This window comes from Homo sapiens, chromosome 14 (genome assembly GCF_000001405.40).
Source record: "Homo sapiens chromosome 14, GRCh38.p14 Primary Assembly".
Classification (NCBI taxonomy): domain Eukaryota; kingdom Metazoa; phylum Chordata; class Mammalia; order Primates; family Hominidae; genus Homo; species Homo sapiens.
Genome location: NC_000014.9, coordinates 103278642 through 103292713, shown reverse-complemented (window position 1 = coordinate 103292713; position 14072 = coordinate 103278642). Strand labels below are relative to the sequence as shown.

The following is a 14072-nucleotide window of genomic DNA, read 5'->3' as shown; positions in this document are numbered from 1 at the left end:
CTCTCAGATGCAGCCCCCATAGACTGAGAGCCCCAGAGGCAGCCCCACTGATAGAGAGTCTCAGATGCAGCCCCCATTGATCGAGAGTCTCAGATGCAGCCCCTATTGATTGAGTCTCAGATGCAGCCCCTGTTGATTGAAAGTCTCAGGTGCAGCCCCCATTGACTGAGAGTCTCAGAGGCAGTCCCCACTGATTCCCAGACACAACCCTCAATGACTCTCAGATGCAGCCCCTATTGATTGAAGTCTCAACTGCAGCCTCCATTGATTGGCAGTCTCAGATGCAGCCCCATAGACTGAGAGCCCCAGAGGAAGCCCCATTGAGAGCTCCAGAGCAGCCCCCATTGATAGTCTCAGATGCAGCCCCCATTGATAGAGAGTCTCAGATGCAGCCCCCATTGACTGAGAGGTTCACACGGAGCCCCCACTGAGTGACAGCTTCAGATGCAGCCTCCATTGATTGAGAGATTCAGATGTGGCCCCCATTGATTGAAAACTTCAGAATCAGCCTCCATTGATTGAGAGCCCCAGATGCAGCCTCCATTGAGAGCTTCACATGCAGCCCCCATTGCTTGAGTGTCTCAGATGCACCCCCCACTGGTTGAGAGTCTCAGATGCATCCCCCATTGATTGAGAGCTTCACGTGTAGCCCCCATTGCTTGAAAGTCTCAGATGCAGCCCCTGTTGATTGAAAGTCTAAGATGCAGCCCCCAATGACTGAAAGTCTCAGAGGCAGTCCGCACTGATTCTCAGACACAACCCTGAATTACTCTCAGATGCAGCCCCTATTGATTGAAATCTCAAATGCAGCCCGCATTGATTGAGAGTCTCAGATGCAGCCCCCATTGACTGAGAGGTTCACATGGAGCCCCCACTGAGTGACAGCTTCAGATGCAGCCTCCATTGATTGAGAGATTCAGATGCGGCCCCCATTGATTGAGAGCTTCAGAATCAGCCTCCATTGATTGAGAGCCCCAGATGCAGCCTCCATTGAGAGCTTCACATGCAGCCCCCATTGCTTGAGTGTCTCAGATGCACCCCCATTGATTGAGAGCTTCACGTGCAGCCCCCATTGCTTGAGAGTCTCAGATGTACCCCCCGTTGCTTGAGAGTCCCGGATGCACCCCTCATTGATTGAGAGCTTCACACGCAGCCTCCATTGATTGAGAGTCTCAGAGGCAGCTCCCATTGATTAAGTCTCAGACACAACCCCTATTGATTGACTCTCAGATGCAGTCCTCATTGACTGAGTCTCAGATGCAGCCCCTATTGACTGAGAGTCTTAGATGCAGTCCTCATTGATTGAGAGTCTCAGATGCAGGCCCTATTGACTGAGTCTCAGATGCAGCTCCTATTGACTGAGAGCCTCAGAGGCAGCCCCATTGATTGAGAGCCCCAGAGCAGCCCCCACTGATTGAGAGCTTCAGATACAGCCCCCAGTGATTGACAGCTTCACATGCAGCCCCCAGTGATTGACAGTTTCAGATCCAGCCTCCATTGCTTGAGAGCTTCAGATGCAGCCCCCCATGATTGAGCTTCATTCACATGCAGCCCCCACTCTGGATTCTCCGCTGAAGGGTCACCCTGGTAGAGCCTTAAGAGAATTGAAGCTCAGGTCCAGGTGGCTCTGCGGCCCTCCTTCTGAGTCTGAGGTGACAGGGTAGGTGAGGTTGGCCACAGAAGGGAGTGCATTAGGCCCAGAGGCTGTGACTAAGGAGGCTTTGGTGCTCCTTCTCTCCCTAGACTTTTGCGAAACTCTTCGAAGTCCTGGAGAGGCTCTGGAGTGTGGCTACTTGGAGCCCTGTGTCTGTGGGGAGCCGCTGCCTAGATCTAAGCACGGTCTGGCTAGAGCTTCCCACTGGACAGTGGCTGGTCAGGGGGAGTTTGTTGGCTCCCACCCCGGCCCCCGGGCAGCACATATCAGCTGGCCTGGCTGGGCCTTGGGAGGACAGAGGATGCTCATTCCTCAGGACTAGAGGAGCCCTGTGGTGCCTCCCTCCCGCTCTAGCTGGGAGATGGGCAGAGCTGGACTGCACCTGCTGCTGTCCCCACTGTGACCAGGCTTTTGGGGTGGACAAGAGGGCTCATCCCCTCCATACCCCTCCCTGGAGCCCCTCCCAGGTCCACGTTGTGGGACTGGGCTGTGACAGGACTCTGGCCAAAGAGATGTGTGGAGACATCACAGGAAAGGGGCTGGTGAAGTTGGGGGCTACCCATGGGGTCCTAAGAAAGGCTGGTGCTTTCCTGCCTTGGGCTGCAGTCCCAGCATGACATGAGGTGTTGCTTCCTGCCATGAACCAAAAGGCAAGAGGCTTGCCAGGGAGAGGCTTGGAGCCTGGATTCTGTTTGGTCCACGGAGTTCACCAGTCTCAAGACCACCTGGTTAGTTCCTGGTGGTGAAAGCATCCTGGAGAGGCATGTTCTCACTCAGGGAGATGGTTCAGGGGTGCAGGTGCCCCAACACCCTACCGCTCCCACGGACTCACTTTGCTGGTGGGGGCTTACCCCCTACAAGGCCAGCTGCATAACCAGAGTGCTGCGGTGCCCACCCTGCTCCTGGTGAGTCAACAGAATCCTGACAATATTGCCCAAGTCATCTACAAATCCAAAGTCAAAGTCTTCCCTATCAATATACCACTCAGGTTCTTTGATGAGCTCAGTAAATACTCTAAAAATGGAGGAAAGACTACAGCCACAAATAGCTAAGCCAGCTGAAAACGCGGAATCCCAGATGTGAAGACACACTAGGAAGCGTCCTCGGAGGAGCAGCTTTTGGGAACAGGAGCAAGCCACCCGCAGAGTGGGGTGGGGCCGGAGCAGGGCGAGCATTGTGAGAATATCACACGATCCCACCATGGGCAAGGAGTGAATCTTTTTTTTTTTTTTTTTTGAGACGGAGTTTCGCTCTCGTTGCCCAGGCTGGAGTGCAATGGCACAATCTTGGCTCACCGCAACCTCTGCCTCCCAGGTTCAAGCTATTCTCCTGCCTCAGCCTCCCTAGTAGCTGGGATTACAGGCACCCACCACCTTGCCTGGCTAATTTTGTATTTTTAGTAGAGATGGGATTTCACCACATTGGCCAGGGTGGTCTCGAACTCCTAATCTCAGGTGATCCACCTGCCTCGGCCTCCCAAAGTGCTGGGATTACACATATGAGCCACTGTGCCTGGCCAACGAATGAGTCTTTTTTTTTTTTTTTTTGATGGAGTCTTGCTCTGTCACCCAGGCTAGAGTGCAGTGGTGTGATCTTGGCTCACTGCAACCTCCACCTCCCGGGTTCAAGTGATTCTCCTGCCTCAGCCTCCTGAGTAGCTGGGATTACAGGTGCCTGCCACCATGCCCGGCTAATTTTTGTATTTTTAGTAGAGACGGTGTTTCACCATCTTGGCCAGGCTGGTCTTGAACTCCTGGCCTCATGATCCACCTGCCTTAGCCTCCCAAAGTGCTGGGATTACAGGCGTGAGCCACTGCACCTGGCCAGCAGTGAGCCTCTTAAGCAATGGTGTAGAACAGTAGTCCCCAACCTTTTTGGCACCAGGGACTGATTTCATGGAGGACAATTTTTTCCATGACTGCTAGGGTGTGGGGGATGGCTTCAGGATGAAACTGTCCCACCTCAGATCATCAGGCATTAGATTCTCAAAAGAAGCACTCAACCTATATCCCTCACATGTGAAGTTCACAATGGGGTTTGTGCTCCTATGAGAATCTGATTTGACAGGAGGCAGAGCTCAGGCGGGAATGCTCACTCGCCTGCCACCCACCTCTTGCTGTGCAGCCTGGGTCCTAACAGGCCATGGACTGGTACTGGTCCACAGCCTGGGTGTTGGGAACACCTGGTGTAGAAGACTGGATCTCTAACTTAGTGGGAAAATAATGGATCTTTACTTAACCTCACATACAAAGCAGGACTCTAGAGAAAGTAAAGTTCCAAATGTCAAAGGTAAAAATAGGAAGCTAGAAGAAAATGTAAAAGAATTTTTGTAAGATACAGGCAGAGAAGGTCTTGTTATACCAGGATTCAAATGCCTAACCCATTGCTTCTCGGGCTTCTGGCTAAGATCAAGTGTCGTATCAAATGCATAATCCATAAGGCCACAATCATTGTAAATTACATCGAAACTAAGATGCTATTGTCCAGGGACACCAGGAACAAATCGGAAAGAGATATGAGAAAAGGCAACGATAATTGCAGTATCTAAAAGAGATATGCAATTAATTGCTCTAGAATGAACAGAAGCGTCTGTGAGTCAGCAAGACTGACGGAGGGACGAAGCCAGGGTAAGGGAGGAGTCTGCACCCCCCATCGCCAGGTTCTCCAGGCAGCCACAGCCACAGGCTGTTTAGAGCCTGGGGTCAGTGGGACCCAGGAGGAGGCTGCTAGGGTTGAGGCCGGTGGAGCTGCCCCTGCGGCCCCGGGCGGGGCTGAGCCAGGGAGGTGCACTCAGGACTGCAGCAGCCCCAGGAGATGCCCCGAGGCCTGGCCCAGCTCCTCAGTTTCCCTCTGCAGGTCAGGCTTGGGTATTCCCTGGGGCACGCCAAGCCTACAGAGGACAGAGGGGATCTGTCTGTGTGTGATGGGGGGCCATAGGGCGGGGCTTCTTTCTTCTGGCCAGGCCCTGGGGGATGTGTGTGTGTGTGTGTGTGTGTGTGTGTGTTGGCCCTGGGGGTGGCCACGGTGTTTCCTGGGAACAGCATGTGTCTGTATTAGGTCCTGTGTCTGCTATAACAAGTCACCACAAACTTGGTGGCTTAAAGCAACAAAAAAGTCTTCTCTCACGGTTTCAGAGGCCAGAACCTGCAATCAGTATCAATGGGCTGAAATCAAGGGGTCGGCAGAGCTTCGCTCCCTCCTGGGGGTCTAGGGTAGAGCCTGCCTCTTCCCCACCTCCTCCGGATTCGGCGGCTGCTGGTGCTCTTGGCTGTGTAGTCCCGATCTCTGCCTCATCTTCACATCGCCTTCTCTGCTCTGTGTGCAAGCCACCCTCTACCTGCATCATAAGGATACAAGTGATTTAGGGCCCACCTGGATGATCCAGGGTCCCCTCCCACTTTAAAATCCTTAATGTAATCCCATCTGCAAAGACTTTGCCATATAAGGTAACGTACACAGGTTCCAGGGATTAGGAACTGATACCTTTGGGGGCCCTTATTCACCTCGCCACAGCGTCCCCGTGAGTACAGAGAGGGAGGGCATCCAGGCCCTCCCCCCAGCACAACCTCACATGCCCTGGGCCCCAGGGCTGCCTCACCCCTGCCTACTCCCTGGACGCTCTTGGGAGCTGGTGTCGGGATGCTGAGTCTGTGTTTGATACATCAGGAGGAAACAAAGTCCAGAGGGGCCTAAGGAGCCCAGGGCCACACAGCACAGAGTGAGGATGGCACCCCTCCTGCCACCACCGTCGCTGAATTGAGTGCTGATTCTGCATGGAGCTTTGCCTGTGCTGCCTGCCTCATGCTCCCCAGGAAAGCGCTATCATTATCACCCTCGTTTTCCTGAGGAGGGAGAAACTGAGGCTGAGAGAGGCCAGTCATCTCGGTGGAGGCCACATAATGGATCCAGAATTGGAGCTGGACAGCCGCCACAACGCCGAGTGTTAAGGAGGAACACAGTTTGCAGCTGCCCCCCACCCCTGCCAGGCTATGGCTTGTCACCATCAGCTCCATGTAAACTAGAGACTAGTGGTAAAACCACCTTTGCAAAAATTATGACGGTGAGAGAAACCTGACAGTTGGCTCCATTTTGCTTCTACCCTCACAAGCTAACCATCTTTGCTCATTCCTGGGCGTAGACCAAGCTAACTATGGGAGAAATTTAGTTTATAGTTTAACTTTAGAACAAAGATGATAACGGTTCCTTCCTGAAATGAACCCCCTCCTTGCCTGGGGACAAAAACCACCTTTGTAAAGTTAACAAATTAGCCACAAGGTTAGAATTATGGTTCTGGAGTCAAGTAGCCAGAGATCACAAGTTTGTAACTTCCTCAGTTGCTTCTATAGATGACATCATTAGGATAAAACCAAAGACTGGTGTTTGAGGTATTTTTCAGAACTTGCATTCTGAGGCACCAGCTGGTGCCGCCCAAACCCATAACCCATACAAAGAAATGGACTCACCCAGTCCTGTGACTCTACCCAGGAATTGACTCAGAGCAAGAAGACAGCTCTGGACCCTGCAATTTCACCCCTGAACCAACCAATCAGCATTCTCCATTTCCTAAGCCCCACCTGTCAAACCATCCTTTAGAAACCGTAGCCTCCAAATTCTTCTGATGGGCATTTGGGTTGGTTCCAAGTCTTCGCTATTGTACATAGTGCTGCAATAAACATACCTGTGCGTGTGTCTTTATAGTAGAATGATTTATAACCCTTTGCATATATACCCAGTAATGGGATTGCTGGGTGGAATGGTATTTCTGGTTCTAGAGAAAGGATATCTTTAATAGGGCAAAAATGCAAACTGTAACAGAAAGCGTTGATACATTTGACTACATTACAAAAAGGAATGTACACTTATGCAAAAATATTTGTAATACATATAACTGACAAAAGACATACACATTTTTATACATGTTGTCTTTCCTAAGAATCCTATGACACAATAAAAATGATAAAAAACCAAACAGAAAAATGGGCAAAAGAAATAAACAGAGATGCACAGAAATAGCACAAATGGCAAATAAATGAATGAAAAAGATGCTCAACTGCATTAGTGATAAGGGAAATGCAAATTAACCAAAATGAAATGTCATTTCCAACCCATCAGGGTGGCAAGAATTTTAAGTCAGAAAAGAGTAAACTGGCAGGGATGAAGAGCGATGAGCTTTCTTCTGCTGCTGATAAAAGTGTAAATTAGAACAATACTTTGGAGAACAGCTTGGCGTCTCCTAGATAATTTTATTTTATTTTTTTTAGGACAGAGTTTCACTCTTTTTGTCCAGGCTGGAGTGCAGTGGTGCGATCTTGGCTCACTGCAACCTCCACCTCCCGGGTTCAAGTGGTTCTCCTGCCTTAGCCTCCTGAGTAGCTGGGACTACAGGCGTGTGCCACCACAACTGGCTAATTTTGTATTTTTAGTAGAGACGGGGTTTCACCATCTTGGCCAGGCTGGTCTCCAACTTCTCACTTCAGGTGATCCACCTGCCTTGGCCTCCCAAAGTGCTGGGATTACAGGTTTGAGCCACCGTGCCCAGCCTCCTAGAGAATTTGAACATATATATCTATACCCTATCACTGAGAAATTTCATGACTAGCTATATAGTCAGAGCCTAAACACAGGTGATCTCTGTTTCCAGTGTGTTTCCATACACGCCTGGGACACGTTCTGTAAAGACAGAACGACCCCAAGTATGGGTCCTGAAAATCTTCCTCCAGGTTAGAGGGCACAGATTCTAGTAGACCCTGGGACATAGTCCTCCACTCCTCATTTTATGCCATCAGCTTGCTCCAACATACACAACATCAAGTGCGTCATTCCTTGCGTTTTCAAATAAACATTTCCTATTACAGAAGCAAAAGAGGTTTCAGAGAAACTGAAGGGGATAGAGTTGTTGCTACCCTTTGAACTTAATTGCTCACACCACTGTTGACAGAAAAAGCCAAATTCTGTGAAATATTTGAAGAGATTTGTTCAGAGCCAAATGTGAGAGCCATGACCTGTGAGTCAGCCTCAGGAACTCCTGAGAACACGTGCCCCAAGGGGTTGGTCTACAGCTTGGCCTTACACGTTTCAGTTTCAGGGAGATAGAAGACATCGGTCAATACATATGAGGTATACAGTGGTTGGGTCGGAGAGCCAGGACAATTTGAAGCAGGGGACTTATGGATCACAGGTGGCTTCAAAGGCTCTGATTGGCAATTGGTTGAAAGAGTTAAGTTATTGCCTAAAGACCTGGAATCAGTAGAAAGGAATGTCTGGGTTCAGATAAGGTATGGGGTTGTGAAGACCAAGGTTTTTATTATGTAGATGAGTCTCATAGGTGGCTGCCCTTAGAGGCAATAGATGGCAAATACTTCCTGTTGAGACCTTTCAAAGATTATCAGGCTCTCTGGAAAAGACCCAGTAAGGGAAAGAGTTTCTCTAAAAAGGCAAATTTCCCCCACAAGAGGCAGCTGTGCAGGACCATGTCAAAAACATATTTTGGGGTAAATACTTTGATTTCCTTCAGGGTCTGCTATCTGTCATGTGACACTATATTAGAGTCAGGTTGGAATTTTGGTATCTTATTGCTGCAAAGAGTCTGTTTGTCCATCTTAAGGTCTCCGTTTTAATGTAATGCTGGTCAGCTGTGCCTGAACTCCAAAGGCAGGAGGGCTTATAACGAGGCGTGTCTGACCCCTCCCTTCCCATCATGGTCTGAACTAATTTTTCAGGTTTCTTTGAGTCCCTTTGGCCAAGAAGGGGGTCCGTGGGTCCATTCAGTCCGTCGGGTGGCTTAGAATTTTAGTTTTGGTTTACACAACCAAATCAAGTAACAGCAGGAGCGATTCGGCCTCAGGGTTGCTGAGATTCAAAAGCATCAGGTCAGGATCTCCCTCTGAACCGCCCCACCAAGGCTCAGGAAACTGGGGTACATGGCCACTGGTTCCTGTGGGCTGTTCCTGGGGATGCAAGCTCTCCGGCCCTGGCCAAGCAGGCAGCTCTGCCCAGAGAATGCCAGCAGCAGAGACAAAGGCTCCCGAGGCAAGAGGCCCACTCTGTGCCTGCTGCTTGCACGACTCGGATCCACTCAGCCCCGCATCCACCTTGTCCTGTGACTGATTCTTCACCTCGGTGGCTGGTTGCACCCTCTCTAAACAAAAATACACAGTGGGGTTGGCGGGACAAGTCTAAGTACAGTCTCCACCCTGGCGCTGATCTCAAGGCTGTGAGTAATGTCCCTCACCTCCTTCCTCACCACTCATTTTAGACCCTCCTTACTCTGGGACGGCAACGCAGCTGGGCTAGGCTGTTGGTTTCTGGGATGGCTCAGACCTTTATCCTCGAAGGGTCCAAGCTTCCGGTGACCACAGTTGCTGCAGCGGCTCCTTTCCTGCCATCACCAGGCACGGGAGCAGCACTTCCTGTCCATCAGATGGGTTAACACGGTGTCTTCACTACCAGGAGCCCGCACACTGTTCTGTGGAGTGTCAAGAACCTTAAAGTTCCTTCAGAAGAAGTGATCGAGAGCAGGGTAGTTAACAAGATCACGAAGTGCACTTTAAAAAACAAAAAACTCTTCATTGCATTTATTTTAGTGCTGAATTTATTCCTGTGCCATAAGTTTTTGTTTCCTCAGGGATATCTTTTTCTTGTGGGCAATCTTCTGGTTTAGGAACAATTTGTTCCTTCGCAGTAAGGATCATTTCGATGCGACAGGGAGAGCTCATGTATGGGTTAATCCCACCATGAGCTCTGGAGGTCTGGTGGCACATCTTAGGTGCTTTGTTCACTTGGAGGTGCTCAATGACCAGAGAATCTACACCTAAACCCTTCAGTTCAGCATTGCTCTCTGCATTGTTAAGCATATGCAGCAAGCATTCAGCACTCTTCTGGGGCCACCAACGTTGTGTCCAGCCCCACTGCTTGGCCTGGGCACACCTACCAACTCCCTGACTGTAACGTTGGAATGGCACACACTGCTTCTGTAAAGTGACATCTTTCAGATCCTTAGTGGCTTTTCATATATGCATACCCCTGATGACCTGGGCAGTTTCACAAGTGTTCCAAGGTGACCACGAAGATTTGAACCTCTTTGCATGATTTTGTGGGGTTTTCCGGGTTAAGTGAATAGCGAATCATTTTCACAGATTACCTCAGGAGGTTTAGGGGAAGAGAGAACCCAAAAATGTGCACGTCTGTCTGTCCTAGGTGAATGCAGACACCCTCCATCCTCCATCCCCAGTGGGAGTGGATGCATTCTTTTTTTTTTTTTTTTTTTTTTGAGACGGAGTTTTGCTCTTCGCTCTTGTTACCCAGGCTGGAGTGCAATGGCGCTATGATCTCAGCTCACCACAACCTCCACCTCCTGGGTTCAAGCGATTCTCTGGCCTCAGCCTCCCGAGTAGCTGGGATTACAGGTATGCGCTACCACGCCTGGCTAATTTTGTATTTTTAGTAAAGATGGGGTTTCTCCATGTTGGTCGGGCTGGTCTCAAACTCCCGACCTCAGGTGATCTGCCCGCCTCGGCCTCCCAAAATGCTGGGATTACAGGCGTGAGCCACCACGCCCGGCCTGCATTCTTTAGCTCGGTTGGCCGTCCGCCAAGCGCCAGCCAGGGTGGACCTCTTCCAGTAGATGCCACCTCTGCTGCAGCGGCTGTGACTGAGGCTACCACTTGGTTAAGTTTATGGCCGTCCACTCTCATTGCCATGAGCCTCTTTTATACTGTGGGAGATGAATAAATAGAAATGCATCTTCATGTCTTTGAGGATGGCCCGATTCTCTGCCCTCTCACCCGGCATGGCTTCCCATCTACTATCTTGACTCAATGAGGAAGCACTTTCAGGGCCTGCCACTGGTGTGTGCGTGCACCCATAGGCAGGGAGGTGTCTGGGCGGGGAGACAGAGACAAAGGCAGAGAGACAGAGAGAGACAGAGAGAGGGAAAGATGGTGTAAGTTGGGGAAAGGGGTGGGTGTGGCTTAGATGCCCACATGAGCAGAAGGTGACTGCCCTGTCCTTCGGCCTGTCCAGCAGCTGGCAGCCAGCTCACCGCTGAGCAACTGGATGGGAGTGGGAGGGTGTGATGCCGTCAGGAGTTCAAAGGAGCAGCTGGCTTGTTTAGAGAATATGGGGTGCTTTTTCCTGGATGGAGGCTGAGATCCAGAGGGACCAGGCCACAGAGCTCTCCCGGAGCATTCCCACAAGCCAGCAGCCGAGCAGGGTAGAGCCGTGGCATCTGCGTGAGGCCCATCCCATCCTGTCCAGCATGGCTCAGCAGGGTCTTGCTGGCCAGGGGTGTCAGGACTGGGAACAAGATGTTGCTGATTTCCATTTGCTGCCCCTGCACTTCCCCACACAGCCCAGAGCACAGCAGAAAGCAGCTGGTGTTTTGCTTCCTTTCCAGCAGAGGGAGGGAGCAGCTTGGTGAGGACAACTTGCCCTTGAGGCAGGGAAATGTGATCAGCACCCCCCACCTCCCTTGCCGGAGTGAGCTGCAGTAATTGGTTTTCCTAGAACAGCTATCCAACCCAAGGCGAAGAAACACCCAAACCAAAATGTCATAAAACTTACTGCGTTTAAAAACAATTATCAGGGCTGGGCGTGGTGACACACACCTGTAATCCCAGCACTTTGGGAGGCCAAGGCAGGTGGATCACCCAAGGTCAGGAGTTTGAGACCAGCCTGGCCAACACGGGAAAACCTCGTCTCTACTAAAAATAGAAAAATTAGCTGGGCATGGTGGCGGGCACCTGTAATCCCAGCTACTCAGGAGGCCGAGGCAGGAGAATTGCTTGAATCCGGGTGGTGGAGGTTGCAGTGAGCCGAGATTGCGCCACCGCACTCCAGCCTAGGCAACAGAGCAAGTCTCAAAAAAAAAAAAAAAAAAAAAAAGAATTGGATAAAGGTTGCTGCGCTAAAAATCAACAAAAAGATGACCTATTCTTCATAGGTTTCCATACCTATTTCACTATTTAAAAATTCCAGGAATTCAGGCAAAGTATGAAGGCAGCTGCCGCTAATAACACAGGTGCAATGCCTGCTGCATAACCGGGTGCTTTCTCTCCTCTCACCTCCTGGAGTTTTCTCTACAACAAACAAACTCCTGAAAAATAATGGTAAAGCCATCCGACAGCATCTAGAAATCTTGGAACATAGTGCTTTAAATATGATTCACAAAGTCAAATGGTAAGAATTGCAAAGTTTAAAAACAATTTATTTGTGCTCCATTTTCCTGTGCATAGCATAGTCAACCAGATGTTAATTACAAAACTGACAGCCAGCGCTGGGCTCACTTTAGGTATAAAATTAATTTGCCAGCGACACATATCCAATTGCAAGGTTGTGCTAAGTAGGTCGTAACTATATTTAGGACCACACAGAAAGGAAAAAGTGATTGCTCAATTCATCACTGAAAATGAGATGGAAACTTCATGGAACTAAGATCTAAACTTCGGCGAAGTGCTCCAAATCCAAACTGTAATTCTCAGAACCAGGTAGTTCAAAAAAACATACCACAAATTGCATTTGAAGAAAGCACATTCTGCCCATTCAGGCTTAAAGCAGTAAGGCATCTTTTAAAGAAGAAAAACTGCCAACAGAATGAATCACTGTTGTTAGTTAAAATACAGAAGTAGTCGTTTCCGTTTCCATTTACTATCCTGTATATCGCTGCTTTAAGATGCACCCAATAGGCCAGGCACCGTGGCTCACGCCTGTAATCCCAGCACTTCGGGAGGCCGAGGCAGGCGGATCACGAGGTCAAGAGATCGAGACCATCTTGGCCAACATGGTGAAACCCCGTCTCTACTAAAAATACAAAAATTAGCCGGGCGTGGTGGCACATGCCTGTAGTCCCACCTACTTGGGAGGCTGAGGCAGGATAATCGCTTGAACCGGGGAGGCGGAGGTTGCAGTGAGCTGAGATCACCGAGATCGCCACTGAACTCCAGCCTGGCGACAGTCTCAAAAAAATAAAAAATGCACCGAATAGTTCATCCTGGGCTCTCACGTTTAGTAATTACGAGTGCAGAATCTGCATAAGGAAATCGATTAAATACTTAAGACGTTAGCCCTTGCCTTTTACCTATTATAGTAACTTGGAAAGCTGCGAAGGTAAAGAACAGCTTTCAGGCCTCGGGCGCTGGGGCCGCGCTTCTGCTCTGCACCCGTGGGTCTTGGGGAACAAGGCCTGGGCACCGGAGGGACTCGAGGCAGCGCGCGGGTTAGAAGCGTCCCGGCAGGCTCAGTTCCCGACGCGGCCCCAGTCCTAGCCTCCCTCCCCGCGCTTCGAGGCTGCCACCAGGGCCATCTTTTTCTGGATGGAGTCCAGGGGACAACAGAAAACTTCCCAACACTCCACCTCCTCCTCGGGCGGGACCAAGGCCTCCGTCTCGCGCACCGCCTGCATGAACACCCGGTCCACCATCCGCTGGCTCTTGGCCATGACCTCCGGGAACGGGGAGCGCCCCTCGCGGCCCCGCGCCGTCAGCACCTGGCGCCCGTCGTCCGGGTCGGCCTGGGTGCCCACCAGCACCCGCGGGACGGCCCCGGGTTCCCACGGCCGGCGCAGGCGCTTGCTCGGCGGCCTCACGGCCCGGAACGAGGCCTCGCTGCACACGCCCGGGAGCACCGCGGAGCCGTCGCCGTGGCGGATGTCCAGGTCCTGGAGCGTGACCAGGTGCTCGGCGCCCGCCGCGTCCACGACCTCCAGCAACGCGGGCGCCGCGTTCGCCTCGATCTCCTCGCGGAGCCGCTCCTCCGCCCACGCCGCGCACTGCTCGGGGAGCGGCCGCACGCGAACTGCGTGTCCAGCGTGGTCCTGCCCACTCCACGCTCCCCAGCAGCACACCCCGGCAGCCCTGGCGGGGCGCGGGACCAGCCCGCAGGGTCCGGGACGCGGCGGGGAGGGGAGGGGAGGGAGGAAGGGTCCTGGGAGGGCGAGGACCCGCGCGGGGGTCTGGCCTGGGGCGGGTCGGGAGGGGAGGGGAGGAAAACGGGGGGCGGGGGAGGGCGGGAGGAAGGGGCCTGGGAGGGCGGACGCGCATCCCACGGAGCCGGGGCGGAGGAGGCGGTCGCGCCGCGGCGACCCCCGCCAGCCTTGGCCCGGACCCGCGCCCTCCTGCTCTCCCTGGTTCCCTGCCCGCACAGTGCCCGCCAGGTGCCTGCCGGGTCCGACCAGATCTAATCTGGAACCAGCTCCAGTGAGAAAGAAAAACAAGTTGGCCGGGCGCGGTGGCTCAGGCCTGTCAATCCCAGCACTTTGGGAGGCCGAGGCGGGCGGATCACGAGGTCAGGAGATCGAGACCATCCTGGCTAACACGGTGAAACCCCGTCTCCACTAAAAATACAAAAAATAGCCGGGCGTGGTGGCGGGCGCCTGTAGTCCCAGCTACTCGCGAGGCTGAGGCAGGAGAATGGCGGGAACCCG

The 14072-nt window shown here is 51.9% G+C and overlaps 2 pseudogenes, besides 4 other annotated features; both read right to left on the bottom strand.

Annotated features, from left to right (window-relative positions):
* Nucleotides 4777-5580: an enhancer, noted in NCBI's record as "H3K4me1 hESC enhancer chr14:103753471-103754274 (GRCh37/hg19 assembly coordinates)". NCBI's record gives its function as "activates a minimal SCP1, AML or CMV promoter by ChIP-STARR-seq in naive H9 embryonic stem cells {active_cell/tissue: H9 hESC(naive)}" and the evidence as "EXISTENCE:reporter gene assay evidence [ECO:0000049][PMID:30033119]".
* Nucleotides 9216-9800, bottom strand: RPL17P4 (ribosomal protein L17 pseudogene 4; annotated as a pseudogene).
* Nucleotides 9707-10504: an enhancer, noted in NCBI's record as "H3K4me1 hESC enhancer chr14:103748547-103749344 (GRCh37/hg19 assembly coordinates)". NCBI's record gives its function as "activates a minimal SCP1, AML or CMV promoter by ChIP-STARR-seq in primed H9 embryonic stem cells {active_cell/tissue: H9 hESC(primed)}" and the evidence as "EXISTENCE:reporter gene assay evidence [ECO:0000049][PMID:30033119]".
* Nucleotides 10505-11303: an enhancer, noted in NCBI's record as "H3K4me1 hESC enhancer chr14:103747748-103748546 (GRCh37/hg19 assembly coordinates)". NCBI's record gives its function as "activates a minimal SCP1, AML or CMV promoter by ChIP-STARR-seq in primed H9 embryonic stem cells {active_cell/tissue: H9 hESC(primed)}" and the evidence as "EXISTENCE:reporter gene assay evidence [ECO:0000049][PMID:30033119]".
* Nucleotides 10928-11222: an enhancer, noted in NCBI's record as "tiled region #9453; K562 Activating DNase unmatched - State 12:CtcfO". NCBI's record gives its function as "activates a minimal TATA promoter and a strong SV40 promoter by Sharpr-MPRA in K562 cells {active_cell/tissue: K562}" and the evidence as "EXISTENCE:reporter gene assay evidence [ECO:0000049][PMID:27701403]".
* On the bottom strand, nt 12759-13491 carry RAP2CP1 (RAP2C pseudogene 1; annotated as a pseudogene).